Source organism: Homo sapiens, chromosome 1 (genome assembly GCF_000001405.40).
Source record: "Homo sapiens chromosome 1, GRCh38.p14 Primary Assembly".
Classification (NCBI taxonomy): Eukaryota; Metazoa; Chordata; class Mammalia; order Primates; family Hominidae; genus Homo; species Homo sapiens.
Genome location: NC_000001.11, coordinates 89,180,918 through 89,207,602, shown reverse-complemented (window position 1 = coordinate 89,207,602; position 26,685 = coordinate 89,180,918). Strand labels below are relative to the sequence as shown.

The window sequence follows — 26,685 nt, the reverse complement described above, 5'->3', positions numbered from 1 at the left end:
GATATTATTTGCTACCATGGCAAAAGCTGGCATTGACCTTCCAGTATCCATCTTTTTCTTCTATTGTGATAGAAAACCTGATTTTTACAGGGATATATGGCAACCCATTAGAGACAGAAAATGCTTCAGACTTCTTTGCATTAGGGCAGCCATCAGATGTAATTCTAGAAACCTGAATGTGAGCTGAAGTGATGTGTGCATGATCAGTATCCAGGAGATGCCCTTTTAAGGACCTAGCCTCTTCCCTCCATTCTTCTGCTGGACGGAAAGTCCATGTGATGGGAAGCCATCTGGGACAGTGAGGTGGCACGTTAAAGGATGGCTGAAGCAGGAAATAGAGAGAACCATTATTCTAATAACTTTGTGAAATGGAACAAAGGACTCTTTATCTCAGTACTTATATAAGAAAGGACAATAAACTTTCAGCTTTTTAAGCCACCATTTACTTAGGTTTTTCTATTACTCATAGATTAACTAAATCCAGCTGATGCAGATTCTATGGCATTTTGAAGGTTGTCATTCTGTCTTATTAATTCACATTGCCAACAGTGGGCATAGCATTGGGCTCATAAAATATATAATGAATAAAAAATAAGGATAACAACTGAATGTCAAGATTATGCATGTCATAATATATAAGATGTACTGAAGTTTCCAATTAGACTCATATCTGTAAATAGATGGGTTGGTCTGAAAACAGATCAGTGGTTTGACGATCCTGCAGGAATAACAGATCCATTCAAATAATACTATGAATTATAATAAGTTTACATGTGATTAGTCAATAGAGAACATTTGTAGGTTGTCTATCAAGAACCTTGTTGTATTAGTCCATTCCACACTGCTATAAAGAGCTACCTGAGCCTGGGTAATTTATGAAGAAAAGAGGTTTAATTGATTCACAGTTCTACGGGCTTAACAGGAAGCATGACTAGGAGGCCTCAAGAAACTTACAATCATGGCAGAAGGCGAAGGGGAAGCAAGCACCTTCTTCACATGGTGACAGCGGAGAGAGAGAAAGAGAAAGGGGAAGTGCCACACCCTTTTAAGCCATCAGATCTCATAAGTGCTCATTCAATGTCATGAGAATAGCAAGGAGGAAATTGTCCCCCATGAACCAATCACCTCCCACCAGGCATCTCCTCCAATTTGACATGAGATGGGTGGGGACACAAATTCAAACCATACCATTCTGCCCCTGGTCCCTCCCAAATTTCATGTCCTTTTCACATTGAAAAATACAATTATGCCTTCTTAACACTCACCAGTCTTTTTATTATTATTATTATTATTATTATTATTATTATTCTTTAAGTTTTAGGGTACATGTGCACAATGTGCAGGTTTGTTACATATACACGTGCCATGTTGGTGTGCTACACCCATTAACTCGTCATTTAGCATTAGGTATATCTCCTAATGCTATCCCTCCCCTCTCCCCCGACCCCACAACAGTCCCCGGAGAGTGATGTTCCCCTTCCTGTGTCCATGTGTTCTCATTGTTCAATTCCCACCTATGAGTGAGAACATGTGGTGTTTGGTTTTTTGTCCTTGCGATAGTTTGCTGAGAATGATGGTTTCCAGTTTCATCCATGTCCCTACAAAGGACATGAACTCATCATTTTTTATGGCTGCATAATATTCCATGGTGTATATGTGCCACATTTTCTTAATCCAGTCTATCGTTGTTGGACATTTGGGTTGGTTCCAAGTCTTTGCTATTGAACACTCACCAGTCTTAACTCATTGCAGTATTAACTCAAAAGTTCACAGTCCAAAGTTTCGTCTGAGACATGGTAAGTCCCTTCCACCAACAAACCTGTAAAATCAAAAACAAGTTAGTTATTTCCAAGATAAAATGAGGTACAGGCAGTGGGTAAATGCTCCCATTCCAAATGGGAGAAATTGACCAAAACAAAGGGGCTACATGCCCCATGCAAATCTGAAATACAGCATGAAGTCATTAAATCCTAAAGCCCAAAATAATCTCCTTTGACTCCATGTCTCACATCCAGGATGTGCTGATGCATGAGGTGGGCTACCAAGGCCTTGGGCAGCTCTGCCCTCATCACTCTGCAGGGTAAAGCCTCTATGGCTGCTTTCACAGTCTGATGTTGAGTGCCTGCATCTTTTCAAGTTGCACAGTGAAAGCTGTTGGTGAATCTACCATTCTGGGGGCTGGAGAACAGTGGCCCTTTTCTCCCAGCTCCACTAGGCAGTGCCCCAGTGGAGACTCTGTATGGGAGCTCCAACCCCACTTTTTCCCTCTGCATTGCCCTATTAGAAGTTCTCCATGAGGGCTCTGCCCCTTCAGCTGACTTCTGCCTGGACATCTAGGCATTTCCATTAATCTTCTGAAATCTGGGCAGAGGTTCCCAAACCTCAACTCTTGCCTTCTGGGCATGCGTAGGCCCAACACCACATGGAAGCTGCCAAGGCGTGTGGCTTGCACCCTCTGAAGCAGTGGCCTGAGCTGTACCTTGGCCCCTCTTAACCATGACCGGAGCTAAAGCAGCTGAGACACAGGGCACCATGTCCCAAGACTGTACAGAGCAGCTGGACCCTGGACCTGGCCCACAAAACCATTCTTCCCTCCTAGGTTTCTGGGCCTGGGATGAAAGGGGCTGCCATAAAATTCCCTGAAATGCCCTGGAGACATTTTCCCCATTGTCTTAGCTATTAACATTCAGCTTCTCTTTACTGATGCAAATTTCTGAAGCAGGCTTAAATTTCTCCTCAGAAAATGGGATTTTATTTTCTACCACATGGCTGGGCTGCAATTCTCCAAACTTTTATGCTCTGTTTCCCTTTTAAATATAAGTTCCAGTTTCAGATTATCTTTCTTCATGCATATGAAAGTACACTTTTAGAAACAGCCAGGTTACATCTTGAATGTCTTGCTGCTTAGAAATTTCTCCTGCCAGATACCCTAAATCATCTCTCTCAAATTCAAAGTTCTAGGGCAAGGGCAAAATGGCACCAGTCCCTTTGCTAAACCATAGCAAGAGTGACATTTACTCTAGTTCCCAATAAGTTCCTCCTCTCCATCTGAGACCACACAGCCTGGACTTCATTGTTTATATCACTATCAGCATTTTGGTCAAAACCATTCAACAAGTCTCTAGGAATATCCAAACTTTCCCACATCTTCCTGTCTTCTTCTGAGCCCTCCAAACTGTTCCAACCTCTGTGTTACCCTGTTCCAAAGTCACTTCTGCATTTTCAGGTATAGCAGTACCCCACTCTTGGTACCAATTTTCTGTATTTCCATTCTCACACTGCTATAAAGAATTACTTGAGACTAGGTAATTTATGAAGAAAAGAGATTTAATTGACTCATAGTTCCACAGGCTTAACAGGAAGCATGAATGGGAGGTCTCAGGAAACTTAAAATCATGGCAGAAGGCAAAGAGGAAGCAAGCACCTTCTTCACACGGTGGCAGGAGAGAGAGAGAGAGGAAAGGGGGAATTGCCACACACTTTTAAGCCATCAGATCTCATGATAACTCAATCACTATCATGAGAATAGCAAGGAGGATATCTGCCCCCATGATCCAATCACCTCCCACCAGGCCCCTCCTCCAATTCGACATTAGATTTGGACAGGGACACAAATCCAAACCATATCACTTATTATATATGTAAAAGAGTTTATTTTAGGAAGTTGATTCTGACGGGTTAGTTTTTTGCAAGTAATACAGTGAGAAAAATAGATCACCGTTCAATTCTTGCTTCAACCACTGACTATGAAATATGTAACCAATCATTTTGCCTATATCTTTACTGCCTTTATTTCATCTAGTAGAAGAGATCAAATACTTTAATTTATGGTTCTTTTAAGGATCAATGCATAATGTACATAAAGCATCTGCACCAGGCATTAATATAGAGAGGAATTCACTAGCTAGAATATTATTTTTAGAAGAATGAGACTTTAGACACCAATTATATCCTATTATCATCAATTTTACCAACAGTAATGGGCATACTGGAGAAAGAGCTCTATGATCTGTCAGTGCAATTCTACATACTTTTCCCTTGGAAGTTGATACAAAGGCTCCACAAGCAGGAAGCTGATATGCTCATGCCTTGACAACCATTAGAAATGACTTTGGAATCTTATCCACTGAGAGACTCTTCTGATTGCAGCTTACCATGGCCCCTGTTTGTCTAGTGGAAAACCAGAGAGAGCAGCTGATGGTTAATCTGACACAGTAAAGATTATTTACAAGATATTTCAGCCTGTGGTGATGGTGACTATTGTAAGGCTACAGTGTGTAGGGAAATCCTACCTGATGAATCATCTTGCAGCATAGAACCATAGTGAGTCTGGTCTTGAGACAGAGACCATTAGTTCGGAATCATAATAATGCACCTGATCACACCAACTCTAAGGTTATTATAAGAAAGAGACCAACTCTTCTCTATAAAATAATTTCCAATTCCTACAACCAAATTTATACCTGGGACTGCCTGTCCTATCTGCTGTCACTGTACTGTTGCTTTGTCTTCTTCCTTAGCAGGCTTCTGTGTGGGTTCTGCTATGAGGTCTGGAACCCAGGGTTCTGGATGTAGGACTCTCTCCAAGCAGAACCACACTGAGGGTCTGGGTTATGCAGGAAGGTTAAGGCAGAGTCATGAAGAAATCTTCTTTACTCTTGATTCTCAACATTTAATTGGCTACCTTGATTCAGCTTATCTGTAATATTTCTGCAAAATGTGAATATGAATCATGAAGAATGAGATTAAGTTCTGTTTCCCTGAACTTTTCTCCTTGGTAAGCTCAAATACTTTGGAATATTAAGATAAGATCTTATTTTAACACTGGGGTGAACAATAGAATTAATAAATATTTATTGAGCAGCTGAATTCCAGGGCTCTGTGCTAAATACTATAAAAGGGCAGTAAACAAGATAAAAGCCTAAAGCCTCATTAGGGAGACCACACATACAGTGTGATCAGAACAGGGTGCCATAGATGCAGAGAAGTAGGGATCTAGTTCAGTTGTATAAACCAAATAAAGTCTCTTGGAGGAAATAACATCTGGACCGTAACTAGTGGAATCACCGGGAGCTATCAGTTAAAGCACACGAGAGTGATCGATTTGGAAACATAAGCCTCGGAAAACAGGGTTTCAGTGAAGTTATGTATTTAAATAATCTCCATAAAAGCTTCAGCTACATCAGGATCATCATAAAGGTTTTGTTCCAACTCCAAGGGCTTTGGAGATTAACTCTTCACTGACTTCTCTGAAAGCATGAACTTAACCTATGTAAAATAGTGTAAATAAGATAATTTTAGGTATTCGATCTTCACAGTATTAAGGGCAATGTGTGATTTCTCCTAATTTTACATTACTCTGAGTCTAAATCAAAACTAACAACAGATCTTTGGCATTATTGCAAATGAAAGAAGGAAAAAGAGGAAAAGAGAAAAGGAAAGAGGGAAAAGAGAGAAAAGAGTGTTTTTCAGAAAAAAAAATCTTATGTATAGCTCTGTCTTCATGGATAAGCAAATTATGCAGTCATGTAGTACCATAGCCTCAGAAAAGTCAATGCTTGATTTGAAATTATTATATTGAATTTCTTGATGATTTTTTTAACGACGAGCCCCACATTTTCATTTGAATGCTTTAGTTCATCTTTCTAATATACTCTCTTTTGTTTAATTTCAAAGAAAATGTGTTGTTCCTGGGTACTACTGAGTAGATTGGCTTTGATCAGTAATTAAATAGTAATGTGAAGCGTTATAGAATCATTTTTAAAAGTGTGAAATGCCCCTTGTGGTTAGAACTCAGAGAAGTCATAAATCCCCATCCCCCAATACTTGATACCATTTTTGTTTCAGTTACATGACACTAAAAAAATCCTGGATTAAATTGTGTCAAAAATTCAATAGCAAGTAGCTGCAAATAGTCATGTAATGTGTTCTTAGCCTATGGACGCTGCTCCTTTGAAGCCAGAGTTCATTCCAAGTTGAATATGGTGAGGCTCTGTGACTGGCCTTGAAGTTAGACCAAGTGGCAAAATCCTCTATGGAGTGTGAAAAGCAGGGCTCTTCAACTGGAACACTGCACAGATGGCATAGGCCTGGAGGCTTGTCTGATTTTATTCATTCTTACTGTGGTCTGAATGTTTGCACCTCCCCATCACCCCAAAGTATATTGACACCTAATCACCAATGTTGACACCTAATCACCAGTGTGATAGTATTAGACAGTGGGTCATTTAGGAAGTGAGAATGAACTTAGGTCATGAGAATGAAACTGGTGAGACTAGTGCCCTTATAAATGAGACTCCAGAGACCTGCCTTGCCCTTCACCATGTGAGTACACATCAAGGGGCCACCAACCATGAACCAGGAAGCATACCCTTATCAGACCCCCAATCTACCCATGCCTCGATCGTGTGTTTCTCAGCCTTCAAGAATGTGAGAAGTAAATTTCTGTTGTGTATAACTTACCCAATTTACTTATTTTTTATAGACGCCCAAACAGACAAAGACACTTCTTCATGCTTATTTTTTGAGCCAATCACCTCTGTTAAACAACAATGGTGTTATTATTACTTCTACATCCTTTATGCCAGTTGATAAGAATTTGGTGTTGACACAGAACAGGGTACCTCTTCTTCAGGAGATCATTCCAGATTGGGCCATTCATATGCTTATCACTACCTCCAGAATGTCAATTTGTAAAAACACAGACACACACACGACAGTGACTATTCTGAACTATATTAAAGTAAGTACACACAGATAACATTATCACTTGCCCTGTATGATCTACTAACGTCATAACTTTCTGTCTCCTTGCCTTGCTCAGTGAGATTAAAAACATCTGCAACTCATTTCCTCCAGTTTCCTTCCAAAATCAGTGAGCCAGTAAAACACCCTCATTTCAAAAAACTGTTTTATTTGATACATCTTGTAAATGAATTACAAGTTAACCACAAAATACAAAAACATATAGACATTGCACTTTAAATATTCAAAAAATGTATAAATAAGAAGCTCAAAATCTGATATGGAAAAATATTCAAAAAATGTTCAGAGTCTTTTTATCAAAATAAAAGTTATTTCCTTTTTATGAGTATGTGTGTGCATATCTGTGATTATAAAAAAAGTCTTTAAAAATTCATATAATTCAGAAAGACATTTTAAAAAAATCACCTGAGCTAGAAGTACTAATTTTAAGGAGGTAGTGGTTGGGGGAACACTTATAGACTTTTATCTGTGTAACACAGACATATTGCTATGTATATTTTCTATGTGCATAGACATATTGCTATGTGCAATCATTATACATACAACTGTGAATTAACAATTTTTTTTGAGACAGTATCTCACTCTGTTGCCCAGGTTGGAGTGCAGTGGGACCACCATGGCTCATTGCAGCCTTGACCTCCTGGGCTCAGGTCATCCTCCCACCTCAGACTCCCAGGTAACTAGGACTATTATAACAGGCACATGCCATTATGCCCAGCTAATTTATTATTATTATTATTTGTAGAGATGGGGTTTCCCCATATTGCCCAGGCTGGTTTCCAATTCCTGGACTCAAGTGATCTGCCCACCTTGGCCTCCCAAAATGGTTGGATTGCAGGAGTGAGCCACCACACCCAGCCTAAATTTCTTCTTGATTAACATTTCCATGATTATCTGAAGTCAGTAACATTGGATTATCTGGAAAGGGGTGCCACTGGTGAAATTCAGGTGTTTCAAACACATTTACCTGGATTCAGTCATCCCTGTACTTTTTCTTCTTCTTCTTTTTTTTTTTTTTTAAGAGAGAGGGACTTCCTGACATTAAAAAATGGTAAGAGAAAAAAGCACCTGATTTCTTATTACTGGTCCTATTTAAAACTTGACTTAGCTTTATTTTCACTTTCAATATTGCTTATAGGAAATAAATGTTAAGTTTTGAATCAAAATCGGCACCAGTAATTTTACCTGATTAAGTGCCTAAAATTTTGTACTTATTAATTTGCAAATGTTTAATCAGACATTACTAAACAAATAGGAAGATCTAAGGGATAGGCACAAATGGGGAATCATTACCCATTTATTTCAGATAGATTTCCCAAACTCTGTTAACAAACTGGCTAGTCATTTTAGGAACTGAGTCCATTTTTCTGGTAGCCTGGGTAAGACTCCTAATTATAAATTATGCTTTTTATGGTCCAATCATCCTCCTGTCCTCCAAAAGATCCAGTTTCAATGAGATGTTTGTGTTTTGAAAGAGAAGTATTTACTTGCCACCACCGCACCTCTGGGCAACAACGTTAGAGGATACATAGATATCCATAGACACACACACAAACACACACATATTTTATGGTTAATGAAAAAATAAAGAAAAGAGATGAGAAACAGAAACATATAAGCATGTAAAAAAAAATAAAAGCAAACAAAAACTCAAATTTCTTCCCTGACAAAATTACCCCTGAGAGACAGGTAGATGAAACAACATTCATGTCTGCTGCTCTATATTCATTTTGGAGGCGAAAGATACCTAAGCTAAGGGTGGAAGAGGGACAAACAAACCTGAGTTTCAGGAGTCTGGTGTGGAGGAACCAGCACTTTCAAGCTCCTTTAGTTTCCTGTCTTGATAAACAGGAAAATCCCCAACAGTCAACTCCCCACAAAGTGCATGTCCTTTCAATTTCGGTTCTCACAGACTCTTACTTGGATGTCTGTAAATCCGGCTGGACTTTCAGCTTCTAAGAACAGTCCGTTTCTCGAGGATCCAGGCGCAGGAGGACAGAGCAATGGGTGAGAGAACTCTTCACGCTGCAGTGCCCACACCAGGTAAGTTTGCTCTTAAGCTTTACCTTTCAAGTATATTTGGGTTATAACAAACAACAACAAATTCCCAAGCGCAGACTGCACACGGGGAGGGTTGGAGACTTCACACTGGCGGGTGACAAAGGCAGTGGAGGAACCTCGCGGGGAAGTCTGATGCTGCTTGAACCCCTGAGTGCTTTGCTCCGTGTGGCCCAGCGTCTCTAGACGGTCCACAGGCGGCGACCAGAGGCGCACCGGTGTCTCCAGGATGCGCTGCTCCTCCTCGGGCTTCCTCCCAGAGCTGTGGCATTTTCTCCTGCGAAATACCATCATCTAGTATACATATACACATTTTTTGCTTGTTTGTTTTATTAATTTTCTGTCCCCCACTAGAATATGTGATACCCTACCTTGTTTTAACCTGAGTTGACTCTCCCTTAGCTGAAAGAGCCAGACAGTCTGCATCTCGGCTCCTTCACTTGCAGCCCCTTACCCACCCGCTTCCTCAGGGACTTAACTTGTGCAAGCTGACTCCCAGCACATCCAAGAATGCAATTAACTGATAAGGTACTGTGGCAAGCCATACCCGCAGTTCCCAGGAATTCGCCCGGTTAACAGCACCCAGAGCCCCCCGCGTTTGTGTCTGGTTGATAAAGCCCAAAGCCCCGCTTCTATCACCTTGTGATAGAATTAAAGCCCCTGCACCTAGTACTGTTTACTTTCCTGTAACCATTTATCCTTTTAACTTTTTGCCTACTTTACTTCTGTAGGATTGTTTTAACTAGACCCCTCCCCCCAACCTCTCCTTTCTAAACCAAAGTATAGAAGAAAATCTAGCCCCTTCTTCGGGCCGAGAGAATTTTGAGCACTAGCCGTCTCTCGGTCGCCGGCTAATAAAGGACTCCTGAATTCGTCTCAGAGTGTGGCGTTTCTCTGTAACTCGCTGGGTTACAACAAATAGAGCTCCAAGAGGCAGAAGTTTGTATCAATTATGTTCCTTGCTTGTTGCTGAGAATCTAGAACGGTGTTAATTAGCACATGGTAGGTACGCAATACTCTTTATTAAATTAATGAGAGAGCAAATTCTTCTGGAATGCCTGGAGCCTTTTCTAACCACTCCTCATCTCCTTTTTGTAACATCCTGCCCCTATTTATTCCAGGAGTGGAATTATTCTGCCATCAGTGCCTTGATTTTCTAATTCTGTTTATTTTATGCATCACCTTGACAAGGCATTTTTAGCGTTCTTGTAAGAATCATAAATAATGTACATAACAGATCTGTACTAGTCTTTGACATGCTAAACTAAATATTTTTCCATTTGAAATGTACAAATTTTATATACATAGAAATTTTATATACCATTAAACGTAGAAATATATTTATATACCATTAAAATGTAGAAATTTTATATACCATTCCACAAGCAAAAAGCTAATATGTATGTGCCTTAGGTAGCCCTTAGGGATGACTTCAAGATCTTGTATTCTACTGAGTATTTTTTTCTGGGTTACAGGTTATCCAGAATCTGAATCCATCATGATGGCCCCCATTTGTCTAGTGGAAAACCAGGAAGAGCAGCTGACAGTGAATTCAAAGGCATTAGAGATTCTTGACAAGATTTCTCAGCCCGTGGTGGTGGTGGCCATTGTAGGGCTATACCGCACAGGAAAATCCTATCTCATGAATCGTCTTGCAGGAAAGCGCAATGGTGAGTGTGGTCCTAGGACAGGAGCCATTTACTTGGAACCAGTGATAACACAGCTGATCACACCCCCTCTAGGGTCATCCTAAAGAAGGGCATGACTTCTCCCAATGAAGAAAACTTCTAATTCTCACCACTAAATTTACAATCTCAAATATATATCACTCTTTAGTCCAATAGTAAAGAATCATCTCAACCCTATCGAAAGATCCGTTCCATGGGTCTTCTTCATCCCATCTATGCTCACCTCTTCAGGGGCTCAGCCCCAGCAATTATTCCCTTTCTTTCTCATTCATCACTTTTGTGTAGGATACCTGGTCACTTCAAATAGCACACAAATATAGTTTAATAGATCCTGTTTTAAAAAATAAATATGAAGAAGGACAGGCATTATAATTCTTGTGTATCCTCTATTTAAATTGGGCTACCATTTCTAATTTTTTGCTTCATTTCATGGCAAAACTCTGATAAATTATATTCCCTTCTAGTTAGTCTTTCTAATATGTGAACTATGACACATAAAGAAGAGTATGTACAACATACCTTTACAGTGAAGTTAATAAAGTGAATACATGAGAAATCACTATCCAGATCAAGAAATAAAACATTACCAAACCTAAACATCCAAAAATCATACCCTGTCATACCTTCACTAGAACTCACCAGTGTTTTTGTTTTCAGGGCACACTTCTTTGACTCTTGGTTTTTAAAAATGGTTCTACATAATATATATGCATTCTAAAACATAGTTTAGGTTGGTCTGCTTTTAAACTTTACATAAAGGAAATTATATTGTGTGTATTTTTGGATGTCTTGCTTCTTTTGCTCAATAAGAAGTTTATAAGTTTTCTCTAGTTACTATGTGTACCCATTATTTATACCCTCAGACAGTATGCCACTACCTAAGGACAGTACATTTATTTATTGTTGAAAATTGGTATTTTTCCAGTTTTTATCTTTAATGAATAAGGCTGTCATTAATACTCTTATTATTTATATCCTGGTGCACATGTACAAAATCTTCCTTTGTGTAATATTCTCAGAAGTGGGATTTCTGAATCAGAGAGTACATAAAATTTCTAGATAAAGTCCAATAGCTTTTCAAAATTCAAATGCAATTTACATGCTTATTAGCAGTGACTGAGAATTTTACATCCTGCGAAAAATTCAGTAACATAAAGCCTTTTAACTTGTGCTGCCCTGTAGAATGTATTGTTGCATGCCATTTATTTCACTATGAGTAAGTTTAAGTACCTTTTCACATATCAATTGCCATTTTCATTTCTTATTTTGTGAAAGCTTTTTTTTTAAATTATTTTTTCCTACCAGGTTTCTCTTTTGGTTCTTACTGACTTTTAAGACAATCTACCTATGGCTCTGTTAGGTGCTTCTGTTTTTAAAGAAAGACCATGCAGCCATTTCTTCCCCCTAATGTCCTACTTCCTCTCTGGCTCAGCAGCTCGGCACCATTAGGGACTGAACCGCTGTCTACTAAACAAGTTTAAGAAAGAAAACAAGTTTGAGAAAATTCTTAATACATATAAAGGTCAGATTAGTTGTCCTGCCTGAGATGGAAACAACCCTTTTCCCCTGTCAGCCACTTAAACATTCCTACAAGTTTAACCGGTGTAATCCTGGGACATCCTGGTCTATCCACTGTTACTGTTTGTTATTTTTCCTCTTCCCTGCAGGCTTCCCTCTGGGCTCCACGGTGCAGTCTGAAACTAAGGGCATCTGGATGTGGTGTGTGCCCCACCTCTCTAAGCCAAACCACACCCTGGTCCTTCTGGACACCGAGGGCCTGGGCGATGTAGAAAAGGTAAGGCAGAGAAACTTCACCGCTCATGGTTGACCTCTCATCTTTTAATTTTTTCAGCTCCCTTCAACTTCTGTACATATCTCTGTAAACTCAAATCTAATTATGAATAATGAGGCTAAATTCTGTTTCCTCAGACTTCCTTATTAATTTCAAGTATTGAGGCATATTTAAGAGTAGATCTTCTTATTTTTAACACTGGAGTGAATGATATAATTTAATAAATATGTATTGAAGAGATGAATTCCAGGGCTCTGTACTGAGTACTACAGATAAAACAGTAAACAAGGTAAAGGCCAAGAGCCTAGTTGTGAAGACAAGAAATATGGGGTATGATAAGTACAGGGTTTCACAGATGCAAAAAGTGAGAAGCTAGTTCAGTCATTCGACTTAGAGAAGGCTTGTTGGAGAAAGTTGTAACCCATGGGAACAATGGGATCTACTATTTAAGGCGTGTGGGGTTGGAGGAGGGGACCATGAAAAAATAGGGTTTTAGTGAAGGAATCTATTTCAGTAGTTTTCAGAAAAGCATTAATTTTATCACTAACATTTTGGTTCAACTCTCTGAGCTTTGGAGATTAATTCTCCACTGACTTCTTTAATAGCATGAATTAGACCCACAAAGAATATTGTAAGTGAGATAACTTTAGGTATTTTGTCTTAAAGTGTTAGGTGCGATCAGTCCATTCTTCTTATTTGCATTAGTCTTATGTCTGAATTGAAAGTAGCAGCAGTAGATCCTTGGCTTCCATTATTGAAAAAAGGGAGTTGAGGGAAGGAAGCACCAACTTAGCAATTCTGAACTTTAAATTTCAGTATTAAAGGTCTGAATTATTCTCTTAGTGTAATATCAAAGTGAAACATTTATTCTTAATATGTTGTAGTTTTCATAAACTTCTTTGTGTCTAATTACGTTTGTCAAGCGATCAAAACATATCAAAACATAAACTGATGGCAGCAGCAGAACTACTAGCTGACCTTAGAACTTGTAATGTGATTTGGGGACCATCTAAATTTTTTTAAAAACCCTTTCATGTCTTGCCATGAATCTTGTTTCCAGCCTCCTCTTCCACTTCACCAACATGCATACTCACTGCTTCAGGCAAATGAAATAACTGTGTAATGCCCTTTTATGACCATGCTGTGACAATTCTGACTTGGCTTCTATTGATCTTTCCACCTGCTTTATCCGTCCTTCTTCACAAGTCCACACTCTATCAACTTTTTGAAGTGCAACTATTTTCAAACTGCTGCCTTCATATGCCTGTCAAACATAATCACTTCTTGCTCCTGAATTCACAGAGTAACTATTCACATTTATGTGCCTCCCCCTCCCTTCTTTTTATTTGTTTTATACTTTATAACTTTGGGTTTTCCTCCCCCAGCAGTGATTATTATTCTGATTGAATTTGTATATTGACATGTTTATCTGCTGCACCAGAAAGCCATCTTCTTGAAGGCAGGGACTGTCGTGAGGAACTTTATATCCACAAAACCAAATGCAGGGTCTGCATTTTGTCAGATACACAATGTAAAGTTTTTGAACTTAACTGAATAGCATTTGTGGCCTTAATATGCCATGAGTGAGAACAAAATTGCAATGGAATAATTGCACGCTGATTACTTGGCACCTATTATGTTCTAGGCACTTTATTGAATGTTACTCACATTGACAATGTCATTCATTTCTGCTAAATGAACCGATAGCCTGAAAAGGATTAATGTAAAAATCTAAATATGAAGTTTGAATTCAGCATTGGCTTCAAAATTTGTTATTTACCCTATTATTCAACTATCATACAGCTGAAATAGCTAATGAACAACCAAATGAATGAATGAATGAATGAAGAGAATACTCCTAAGTCTTTTGCTTTATATGCTTTCTAGAGTAACCCTAAGAATGACTCGTGGATCTTTGCCCTGGCTGTGCTTCTAAGCAGCAGCTTTGTCTATAACAGCGTGAGCACCATCAACCACCAGGCCCTGGAGCAGCTGCAGTATCCTTCTGGGAAGTGAAGAGCAGGTTTTATGGGGTTTAGGGGAATGGGAATTGATACTGTGTCTTCTTTGCTGTGACTCAGTTGTCCTGGTTGAGTAAGAAAAGACAGAGTGCAAAAGGGAACGTGTATAAAACTTGTTTCTAAGTGAGATATGGAAATGATGGTGTAGGGTGCTATCCTTCCTTAGCTGAGATCCCAGCTATGTGACTGAGCTAGCAGAGCTAATCAGGGCAAAATCCTGCCCCAGACCTGATGAAGCTGAGGACTCCAGCGAGTTTGCGAGTTTCTTTCCAGACTTTATTTGGACTGTTCGGGATTTTACCCTGGAGCTAAAGTTAGATGGAAACCCCATCACAGAAGATGAGTACCTGGAGAATGCCTTGAAGCTGATTCCAGGTATCAGAGCATGGCCTGGATGTGGGAAGGTTCAGTGGGGGGTAGGATCAACTAAGACCTGCTATTCAGCACCTGACACAAATGTTTACATTAGACTGGATTGATTTGAGGCCCATGCTCATGGTGGTTGGTGATTGACAAGTGATTATGATTTTTGTGGTTATTTTTACTTGAAATTTCCCAGAGGCTGAGGTTCAAATTCATTGAGGAAATTTAAAACTCGAAGTTCTATCAAATCATTTTAGACCAATAAGTATCATGAAAAATATATTGAGGATTACAATTAATATTATCACATCCTAAGACTCATATATTTGTGTTACTTATTAGCTTCAAATGCTCCTCCTATTCTATTTGGAGAAATTAACTAATAAGCTTGGAAGCTGGTAAACACAGAATCACAAGAAGTCAAATGATCTAACTTTGGAAGTATATTTCACCCTATCTATTTCATTAGCCTGGATAGTTACATCCTTTAGAGAAAAAGGAGATTTATACAGCAAACGATCCAGGAAGTTAAAAAAAAACACATATGCTTCCAGTAAGACTGTCAAATCCTTCATTTTACTATTTTCATAACATCACCTACTTCATTCTACAGCTTCATAAAATATGTTGTCAATCTATTATACGTTTGTTAAACAGACTATATTTAGCAGAGTGGATACCTGTTGGCACCTACAATCAATATCCATCTTTGTTCATTTATTCATCCTTTCAACAAACATTTGTTTTGAATAACTGATATATGCCACAGAATCCCTCTGCAAGACAATGTGAGACCTAATGTAATCTGACATTGAAAGGTGGTGAGGTCTCCAAGTTATATCTGTATTAACTTTACTCTGGATTTTTCAGATAAAGGAATCTCTAAACATATTTATGGTGTTTATAATTTGGGGTTCTGGTTTTGAAATACTTTTTATTTTTATTACTGACTTGGGTATCATTCACCTTCATGATATTTTTCTAAGAAACATATTTTTCTTATTTCTAGCGTTGCTTTAATTTAGGGCCCATGTTTCACTTCTGACATAGGACTGTAATATCAGAAAGTATTTCTGACAACTGCTTCATTTAATTAATCATTCAAAAACATTTAATACATAGTCTACTGGCTAGCATACAAAAGCCAAGGAAACCAGTCATAAGTTTCTTCATTTTGTGGTAGATGTCTTCCCTTCCTCTCCAAGAGTTCTTTCCTGACTCTCGCTCCTGTACAAAAATGGATTTTCCATGCCTTCATTGGATTAGCACAAGGCTGTTTTGTATGATTGCATAAAACAAGATTTACAAGGCAGGGGAGCTGCAGGGATGCAAAGATCCCTGGAAAAGTCCTCAGCCCCCTTGCCTGCAGGCTGTCTCTTCAATGAGCCCTCTTTTTTACAATTCCACAGGCAAGAATCCCAAAATTCAAAATTCAAACATGCCTAGAGAGTGTATCAGGCATTTCTTCCGAAAACGGAAGTGCTTTGTCTTTGACCGGCCTACAAATGACAAGCAATATTTAAATCATATGGACGAAGTGCCAGAAGAAAATCTGGAAAGGCATTTCCTTATGCAATCAGACAACTTCTGTTCTTATATCTTCACCCATGCAAAGACCAAGACCCTGAGAGAGGGAATCATTGTCACTGGAAAGCGTGAGTCTTTTTTTGTCCCAAAGCATGTCTGTCTGTGGTCCAGGATGTGTTGAAGCTGTAATGACTGCAAGTTTTTCAATAATATTGTTTGCTTCTGTATAGGAATGCAGAGAAGGAGATGTTCATTGCACACATAGAAATGAATGTTTCTTAATTAAAGTTTACTCATGTGAAACTTTCTTGAGGCCTAATATGTCTCACAAAATTAATACACTAATGGCATAAACACAAACTCCTAAGGAGAGAAATCTGCATGATGAGGAAAAGTCCTATAGGATTAGTGTTTCTCAGTGAAGATATATAATATATTTTATAAATTTACATTAGTCAGGAAATCAACATCAGGCCATGAGTTCCATGCAAGCTCATTGAGAGTTTGAGAAACAAATTTAAATGTCATATTAAGTACGGGGCTAGCTTCATGGCATGCAACCTGTGTAGTCGTCCACTCCCTATGGTGAGATGGGCCTGTGCTTGGTTCAATGGTTTATGTTACTGTCTTCAAATAAAAATTTCTTGTCTCCAAATAAAAATGCAAGTTCCCTTGTAAAGAATAAGAAATGAGGGGACTTGCATTTTTATTTGGAAGTAGGACTCACAAATTATATAACTTACTTTCCCTGCTAACAAACTCATTTATATGGTATTTAAATGGAAATGTATTTTTCCATAAAACACAAAAACATATTGGTTGCAATGGGTAATTTAATTTTGTAATGTGAATCCAAGAGCCATAAAAAAGAGTGAATAGGAAAAATAGGGATGTTATTATAAAGAGTTGAATTCATAGAGGAAGATGAAAAAGGAGGAGGAAGAGAATAAAGGAGTGATAAGAAACTTCAAGATAATTAGAATTTTTGTAATTTTTAGAATGCTGACTCTTAAAACTTGTATAAATAATGAGTAAGAACTGTAAATTTTCCCTAAATATATGTGATTCAGGGCTGGGGACTCTGGTGGTGACTTATGTAGATGCCATCAACAGTGGAGCAGTACCTTGTCTGGAGAATGCAGTGACAGCACTGGCCCAGCTTGAGAACCCAGCGGCTGTGCAGAGGGCAGCCGACCACTATAGCCAGCAGATGGCCCAGCAACTGAGGCTCCCCACAGACACGCTCCAGGAGCTGCTGGACGTGCATGCAGCCTGTGAGAGGGAAGCCATTGCAGTCTTCATGGAGCACTCCTTCAAGGATGAAAACCATGAATTCCAGAAGAAGCTTGTGGTACTTTTAGCATTTATCCTTCCTGATTTCTGCCCTTCCGAAATGATGCATAAAGTGTAGCTTTTTGACCCCATGGTTCATCTCCTTACCACTGTGGAAAGACCATGGTTTCTTGTGAATAACAGGGCTCTATGGGCTATAGGTCACCCTTCTTCTAGAGGATTGTCACTTTTTTTTTCTATTGCTGCAAAAGAAATTATCATGAGTTTAGCAGCTTAAAACAACACACGTTATTAGCTCATAGTTATGTAGGTCAGAAGTCCTTATCAGGGTGTCTGGGTACTCTGCTCAGTGTGCCACAGGCTGAAAACAAGGTGTCAAAGAGGCTTAGATTTCATATAGAGGCTCTGGGTAAACCCATCCATCTTCAAGTCAGCAATGATGCATGAAATCCTTATGTTTCTAATTTCACTGAATTCCTCTTCTCACACCAGCTAGAGAAAACCACTTTTAAGGGGCTCATGTGATTAGGTCATGCCCAACAGGGCACACTCCATTTCTCAAAGTCAACTTGTGCTACACAACATAATCTAATCACAGGATTAGTATCTATCATATTCATAGGCCCAGGAACTATGCAGGTGTGGATACCAAGGAGTGAGAAACCTTATGGGACATCTTAAATCTACTTACCATAGGCATGTTTACTGAAAGTTTGTCTTTCAGTCTGTCTCAGACTGACCTAAAAGTGACAATAATCTCTTAATTCATAGTGATAAAATGCAACTGGATTGTAACTTACAAATACAAACAAAAGAAAATTCTGTTCCTGTATCCTCACATATCCAAACTCTCATTGAAGAAATACACAGATGGTTCATTTTTCTCATCAGAATATGCTTAATTCATTACTGTGAAGTTGATTTGCCATATGTATATTTTTTATACATAGCAACCTATGTTTTCTGGGGAAATTTTGCTTCCAGCCAGAATTCAACTTTTTACTGCTCATTACTGGAGGTTGGATCCCTATTAATCATACTATACCTAAAAGAACCATAGAGTTTATGTCTTCTAACCACATAAATTTACAGATATTGAGCCTGACCCCTGGGGGGTTAAAGGGCTTTCCACAGGTCACACAGATCACATAGTTGGGAACAAAATCATTCTTGTGACTCTTGGTCTACACCATATCCCAGTCCACTCTGAGGCCTTCAGACTACTTCTTCCAAGAGGATCACAGTTGGACCTTCCCTTCTAACAGCTTCTTTCTACTGTTTTCTCTACATTTTTCTGGCAGGACACCATAGAGAAAAAGAAGGGAGACTTTGTGCTGCAGAATGAAGAGGCATCTGCCAAATATTGCCAGGCTGAGCTTAAGCGGCTTTCAGAGCACCTGACAGAAAGCATTTTGAGAGGAATTTTCTCTGTTCCTGGAGGACACAATCTCTACTTAGAAGAAAAGAAACAGGTTGAGTGGGACTATAAGCTAGTGCCCAGAAAAGGAGTTAAGGTGAGGAAAAGGGGAATGGGGGATGGATAACAGAGGATAGTCAGAGGGTTTTTGTTGCCCCTTCTGAAAATCTAAGAATATAGCACCATTTGTGGAGAGGAAGCAGAACATGATGCTATTTTGAGTTTTTTAGTATTTAAATCCACAGTTAGTTAGACACTCTTAAGAAATCAGAAATATTTCTTCTCCAAGAGGATTTAACATCATGAATCCAGATGAAACAACCCATTTATTATATTTATTAATTAATGGGATAGTTTTTGTGCTAAGTGCAGAGGATACCTTATGAAGCAAACAACTATGTTTTCAGAAGTGTATTATTTTACCTGAGATGGACAAATTAATATTTGACTGGATAGGGTACAATTACGGTTATCGTACTGGTATGTACTAATATGATGATGATGATGATGATGATCTTGATGATTCACTTCCTATATCAGAGGAAGTGATTTTGTTGGATTATCAGTTTGATTCTCGGAATAATGTAAATTAGGTACCACTATCGTCCACATAGGCAGTTGAGAAATGTAATGCATGGAGAGGTTAATAAAGTGCCTAAGACAACACAGCCAGCAAGTGGTGGAGCTGATAGGGCTGACCTATGTACTTGACAGCCATTGGAAACTCAGAATTTTTCCTTTTGAGGAAACTTTTGTCCTGTGTTCCATGAGGACTGTACCAATTTCTGTTCCTACAAACAGTTTCCAAGAATTCCCTTTTCTCCATATCTTTGCCAACACTTGCTATCTTTTGACTATTGGATAATTATCATTCTAAAATGTGTGAGATAAAATGTCACTGTGGTTTTGATTTGCATTTCCCTGATGATTAGTGATGTTGACCATGCTTTCACATACCTGTTGGCCAGGTCTTCTTTTGACGAAAGTCTATTTAGTTTCTTTGCTCATTTTTTAATATATTTATTGGTTTTTTGAGTGTTTATTTTTGCTATTTAGTTATATGATTTCCTTTTGTATTTTAGATATTAACCCAGTATCAGATTTATGGTGTGCAAGTGTTTTCTTCCATTCTGTATGGAAGAAAATTCTTTTTCATTTTACTGATTATTTTCTTTGCAGAAATTTTTAGTTTGATGTAGTCCCACTTATTTTTGCACTTGTTGCCTGTGCTTTTGATGTCAAATCAAAAACTGAGAATGTGTATTTGTAGAACTGCCCATTTATGTTGTCGGGTTGTCTGCACCGGGGGTGGGTGGTGAGCAGCATCCCTGGGAGAGGAGGCTGGACAGGCAGGAGGGAGGCTGGACAGGCAGGAGGGAGGCTGCTGCACAGGGTTTTTATGACTTAACAAAGAGCTTGGACTTCTTGTGGCTGTGGAAGAAAAGAAACCACTGGATCTTAAGAATTATGCAAAGTTTACAGGGTTAGATTTGTGACTTTATTGAACAATAATTTCGCCATCATAAGATGAGACCTTTGCTGCCTGACAGGTCTTTGCTCTTTCTTGGTTCCTCAGGCAAACGAGGTCCTCCAGAACTTCCTGCAGTCACAGGTGGTTGTAGAGGAATCCATCCTGCAGTCAGACAAAGCCCTCACTGCTGGAGAGAAGGCCATAGCAGGTACAGGGGCAGGGCTCAGCTATCAGAGGGATTGGGAGTTTCCTGCAATGCCTTCTTGCTGATCACACTGAAAGATATTCCAGTTAAAAGGAGCTTCAAAAGTCACAAACATTGAGTTAAAATATTAATAAGTTCTGGATACCAAATGTACAGCACAGCGACTATAGTTAAAAAATATATTGTATACTTGGAATTTGCTTTCTCTTACTATAGAGGAGGGAGCTTCCTCCCACTATAGAACATATACTCTGCTAAATCTCAAAATCGCAAGGAGATTGGGGTTGAACCTCCAGCCAGTGCCTTCGCATCACATTATTCAACATTCTCTTCCAGACATGGCTAGTGAGATAATTCAGAGATTCCCAATCCCTCACCTTTGTGCTTTTCTCCGAGTCAGTTTGATCTGAGCTCAGGAGGGTAGAACTCAGGAATAACTGTCATTTTCTTCCCTCTCTAAAACCTTTGTGGAATAGCGGAGCGGGCCATGAAGGAAGCAGCTGAGAAGGAACAGGAGCTGCTAAGAGAAAAACAGAAGGAGCAGCAGCAAATGATGGAGGCTCAAGAGAGAAGCTTCCAGGAATACATGGCCCAAATGGAGAAGAAGTTGGAGGAGGAAAGGGAAAACCTTCTCAGAGAGCATGAAAGGCTGCTAAAACACAAGCTGAAGGTGAGTCTCCGTGAAGAATGGCAGTGCCTGAGGGACAATGCCCTGCTTCTTTAGGAAAGGAAGGACCAAAATTTTAGGCACAGTCATGATTCCAGAAGGAAACACAAAAGTTGTATGTTTCACTAAAATCTCAAATACATCTAAATTCTACTGAAGCCCGAAAGTCTACAAGAATCCACCATCTTCTTCTTGTTAGACTTTGGAGAGTACACATGACATCTCCCAGGGTCCCAGGCTGCTGTTTGTGGTGACTACAGGATGGTCTCACTGTGCCCCAATGAAATAGGACCTTAGTCCACCAATCCTTGCGATTTTTGGCACAACCATCTAAAGTACCTGAAATAGATCCATCTGGATGAAAGTATCAGATTTGGCTTGATATGAAATGATACTGAAAGATCACAAATTGCTCCATTTGTTTCTGTATCTGCCTGATTCATCCTATACAACTAGAGTAAAACATATTCCTTGTCCCAACCTGAAGCTTGACAACCAATGTTTTATACAGGGTCAGCAGTCCCCCGTTATTTGCTAGATGAGCATGGCCTTGCTACACCAGTGGAAATTAGAATTAATTAGAATTAAACCTGCATTCCCTCTCGAAGGGCATTCTTTGTGCTGGAACAAAATTTCTTTCTACCTCCAGTGAGATGTTGCTTAGGGAATGTCACAAAAGGTAAACCATGTATACTCCCATGATTCAGGTCCAATCATCTGGAAATGTTACACAAATTCATCAAAGCGTTTTCTAAGATAATAGAGAAATAGACACATATGCTTAAACGTTGAATTAGTTAAATACAAAACTCTGACTCCTGAAGAAAATTGGAGATTTTCAAAAGTGGACTATTTCCCTTTTATAGGTACAAGAAGAAATGCTTAAGGAAGAATTTCAAAAGAAATCTGAGCAGTTAAATAAAGAGATTAATCAACTGAAAGAAAAAATTGAAAGCACTAAAAATGAACAGTTAAGGCTCTTAAAGATCCTTGACATGGCTAGCAACATAATGATTGTCACTCTACCTGGGGCTTCCAAGCTACTTGGAGTAGGGACAAAATATCTTGGCTCACGTATTTAAGAGCCTGAATATTCCAGGTAAGAAAATATAAAATGAGGTTTATTTTATTTTAATAACATAACACTGTTGCTCATTTTGTAAGTATATGTGTTATAGCAGTTTCATTCAAGAAAAGTTTAAAATTAAAAAGTGATTATCAAAGAATATCAGGGCCTGACATCCACAAAAAACAAACTTAATTTTGATTGAACTAATAATTTATAAACATGGGAAACAAGTCAGAAGTAGTGACATTATTCCTAGAAAAGATTTAAGGAAAGCAAAAAGACAACTGGTAAGATTAAGAAGCCATTAACCATTTGCAATTTATATTATAGTCACAGAAATAATTTCAGTTATGACTAGCTCTTGCCGATTAATGAGAAGAGAGCAGCTCCACAATTTTTAATTTTTTTAACTTTTATTTTAGATTCAGGGGTATATGTGCAGGTTTGTTACATAGGTAAACTGCATGTCATGGGGGTTTGGTGTGCAGATAATTTTATCACACAATTATTAATCATAATACCCAATAGGTTTTTTTCTGATCTTCTCCCTCCTCCCAACCTACACCCTCAAGTAGACCCCAGTGTCTCTTGTTCTCCTCTGAGTATCCATGTGTTCTCTTTGTTTGGCCCCCATTTATAAGTGAGAACATGTGGTATTTGGGTTTCTGTTCCTGTGTTAGTTTGCTTATGATAATGGCTTCCAGCTCCATCCATATTGCTACAGAGGACATGATCTTGTTGTTTTTTATGGCTGCATAGTATTCCATGGTGTTTGTATATACCACATTTTCATTATCCAGCCTATTATTAATGCACATTTAGGTTGATTCCTTATCTTTGCTATTGTGAACAGTGCTGCAATGGACATACACGTGCATGTGCCTTTATGGTACAATGATTTATATTTCCTTGGGATATGCATTCCTTTGGGAATAATGGGATTGCTGAGTTGAATGGTAATTCTGAGTTCTTTGAGGAATCACCAACCTGCTTTCCACAGTGGCTAAACTAATTTACACTCCCACCAACAGTGTATGTGTTCCATTTTCTCCACAACCTTGCCAGCATCTGTTATTTATTGACTTTCTAGTAACAGCCATTCTGACTGGTGTGAGATGGTATGCATTTCTGTAGTGATTAGTGATGATGAGTGATTTTTATATGCTTTTTAAATGCATATATGTCTTCTTTTGAAATGTGTTCATGTTCTTTGCCCACTTTCTTTTTAATGGGGTTGCTTGTTTTTCGCTTGTAAATTTTTTGAAGCTTCTTATAGATTCTGGATATTAGATCTTTGTTGGATGCATAGTTGGCAAATATTTTCTACCATTCTGTAGGTTGTCTGTTACTTTGTTAATTGTTTCATTTTGTTTTGTTTTTGTTTTTTGAAACAGGGTCTCACTTTGACACCCAGGCTGGAGTGCAGTAGCACAAACATGGGTCATTGTAGCCTCAACCTCCCAGGCTCAAGCAGTCCTTTCACCTCAACCCCCCACATAGCTGGGACTACAGGTGCTTACACCCAAGACCAGTTAATTTTTTGTATTTGTTTGTAGAGATGTGTTTTTCCATGTTGCCCAAGCTGGTCTTGAACTACTGAGCTCAAGCAATCTGCCTGCTTCAGCCTCCCAAAGTACTGGGATTTAGGCATGAGCCACCACATCTGGCCAATAGTTTCTTTTGATGTGCAGAAGCTCTTTAATTTAATTAGATCTCCTTTGTCAGTTTTTGTTTTTGCTGCAATTGCTTATGTTATCTTCATCATGAAATTTTAGCCAAGTCTTATGTCCAGAATGGTATTTCTTAGGTTATTTTTCAGAGTTTTTATAGTTTAATGTTTTATATTTAAGTCTTTAATCCTTCTTAAGTTGATTTTTGTATGCAGAGTAAGCTGGGGGCCCAGTTTCAATCTTCTGCATATGGCTAGCCAGTAATCCCAGCACCATTTATTAAATGGGGACTTCTTTCCCCATTGCTTGTTTTTGTCAGCTTTGTCCAAGATCAGATGATTGTAGGTGTACAGCATTATTTCTGGACTCTCTGTTATGTTCCATTTATCTGTGTGTCTGTTTTTCTACTAATACCATGCTGTTTTGGTTACTGTAGCTCTGTAGTATGGTTTGAGGTTTGGTAACTTGATGCCTCCCCTTTTGTTCTTTATGTTTAGGATTGCCTTGGCTAGGCTCTTTTTTGGTTCCATATGAATTTTAAAGTAGTTTCTAATTCTGTGAAGAATGTCATTGGTAGTTTGATAGGGATAGCATTGAACTATTTGCTCAACTCAACATTTTAGGAATTTATTTCTGCTGTCTAGTGCTCAAAACTTGCAGCTAGAATTGAGGGAAGAGAGAGACCTTCTTATATTGTTTTATATTGTTTGATACTCAGTACCTGTTTTAAGAAAAAACAACAAGGAAGTAAAACCAAAGACAGGCAGCCCAGCGCCAGGCCCAAAACCAGGCCTGGGCCTGCCTGGCCTAAACCCAGTAGTTAAAAATCAACTCATTGCCTGTAATCCCAGCACTTTGGGAGGCCGAGACGGGTGGATCACGAGGTCAGGAGATCGAGACCATCCTGGCTAACACGGTGAAACCCCGTCTCTACTAAAAATACAAAAATTAGCCGGGCATGGTGGCACGCGCCTGTAGTCCCAGCTACACGGGAGGCTGAGGCAGGAGAATGGCGTGAACCCAGGAGGCGGAGCTTGCAGTGAGTCGAGATCGCGCCACTGCACTCCAGCCTGGGCGACAGAGCGAAACTCCGTCTCAAAAAAAAAAAAAAAAAATCAACTCATAACTTAGAAACCGATGTTATTCATAGATTCCAGACATTGTATAGAAGAACATTTGGAAACTCACTGCCTTGTTCTGTTTCTCTCTGACCACCAGTGCATGCAGCCCCTGTCATGTACCGCCTGTTTGCTCAAATCAATCATGACCCTTTCATGTGAAATCTTTAGTGTTGTGAGCCCTTAAAAGGGACAGAAATTGTGCATTCAAGGAGCTTGGATTTTAAGGCAGCAGCTTGCTGATGCCACCAGCTGAAAAAAGCCCTTCCTTCTCCAACTCGGTGTCTGAGAAGTTTTGTCTGCAGCTCATCCTGCTACAGAATGAACTCCTTGTAATTCTACAAGATATGCCATGGGCCTTTTCACAGGGGACACAGGCTTCTTAAAACAACCCGGCTTCCTCACCCTATGTCCTTTATTTACAAAGCTGTGCTCCTATTCATGAGCATGGAATGTTTTTCCATTTGTTTGTGACATCTCTTATTTCTTTCAGGGGTATCTTGTAATTCTCATTATATATATCTTTTGCTTCCTTGGTTAGCTGTATTTTTAGGTATTTTAGTCTTCTTGTGGCAATTGTGAATGGGATTGCATTCCTGATTTGGCTCTTGGCTTAATGTTATTAACGCCACATTTTTTAAATAGACAAAAATATGAGATTAAAAATGTTGAATTTTACTAACAATAAAAGTTGTTCAAAGGAAAACTATAAGGTTCTTGTTTCAACTCTGTCATAGGAAGAACAGGACAGTGAGCTGGCACAGAGTTAGGGAAACTGACTGTGTCTCATATTGGCTAGTGAGAGTGATCTGTTGGAATTGTATATCAAAATTTTAATGTACATACATTTTGTCTAGCAATTCTACTATTGGGTATTTATATAGTACATATAAATATAAATGTATATGTTTAGTAAATATATACTTATAGTTAGTAAATATATTTTATATCTATTTAGTAAATATACTAAATGTCAGGCCTCTGAGCCCAAGCTAAGCCATCATATCCCCTGTGACCTGCATGTACATACGTCCAGATGGCCTGAAGCAAGTGAAGAATCACAAAAGAAGTGAAAATGGCCTGTTCCTGCCTTAACTGATGACATTACCTTGTGAAATTCCTTCTCCTGGCTCATCCTGGCTCAAAAGCTCCCCCACTAAGCAACTTGTGACACCCACCTCTGCCCGCCAGAGAACAACCCCCTTTGACTGTAATTTTCCTTTACCAACCCAAATCCTGTAAAATGGTCCCAACCCTATCTCCCTTCACTGACTGTCTTTTCGGACTCAGCCAGCCTGCACCCAGGTGATTAAAAAGCTTTATTGCTCACACAAAGCCTGTTTGGTGGTCTCTTCACACAGACACGAGTGAAACTAAATATATATATTTTATTTTTATATTTGGTATATAAATATAAATATATCTGGTATATATTTGGTATATAAATATATATATATCTGTCACTTACCGATGAGGTAAATTTTGGGACATACTTTCAAAGGAATATTCTACAGTCACTAAAATGAAAAAGGAAGCTTTATTTGTACTACTATGAGAAAGT

At 38.9% G+C, this 26,685-nt stretch overlaps 1 protein-coding gene and 1 long non-coding RNA gene across 2 annotated transcripts, besides 1 other annotated feature; one reads left to right on the top strand and one right to left on the bottom strand.

Moving 5' to 3' along the window:
- Window positions 1-1,247: 1,247 nt before the first annotated feature.
- On the bottom strand, window positions 1,248-9,256 carry LOC107985076 (uncharacterized). The gene is made up of 3 exons (XR_002958332.2): window positions 9,195-9,256; window positions 8,545-9,100; window positions 1,248-1,819 (listed from the first exon to the last, which is right to left on the bottom strand). It is a non-coding gene; the product is annotated as an uncharacterized LOC107985076 (long non-coding RNA).
- Window positions 8,563-8,857: a silencer, noted in NCBI's record as "tiled region #13956; HepG2 Repressive non-DNase unmatched - State 21:Repr". NCBI's record gives its function as "represses a minimal TATA promoter and a strong SV40 promoter by Sharpr-MPRA in HepG2 cells {active_cell/tissue: HepG2}" and the evidence as "EXISTENCE:reporter gene assay evidence [ECO:0000049][PMID:27701403]".
- Window positions 8,661-26,459, top strand: GBP4 (guanylate binding protein 4). The gene is made up of 11 exons (NM_052941.5): window positions 8,661-8,808; window positions 10,299-10,493; window positions 12,179-12,306; window positions 14,191-14,300; window positions 14,503-14,699; window positions 16,097-16,342; window positions 17,285-17,565; window positions 18,809-19,021; window positions 20,501-20,603; window positions 21,077-21,270; window positions 22,134-26,459. Exons 1-11 carry the CDS (start codon window positions 8,769-8,771, stop codon window positions 22,347-22,349), a joined length of 1,923 nt encoding a protein of 640 aa, NP_443173.2. The 5' UTR covers window positions 8,661-8,768; the 3' UTR covers window positions 22,350-26,459.
- Window positions 26,460-26,685: the final 226 nt, after the last annotated feature.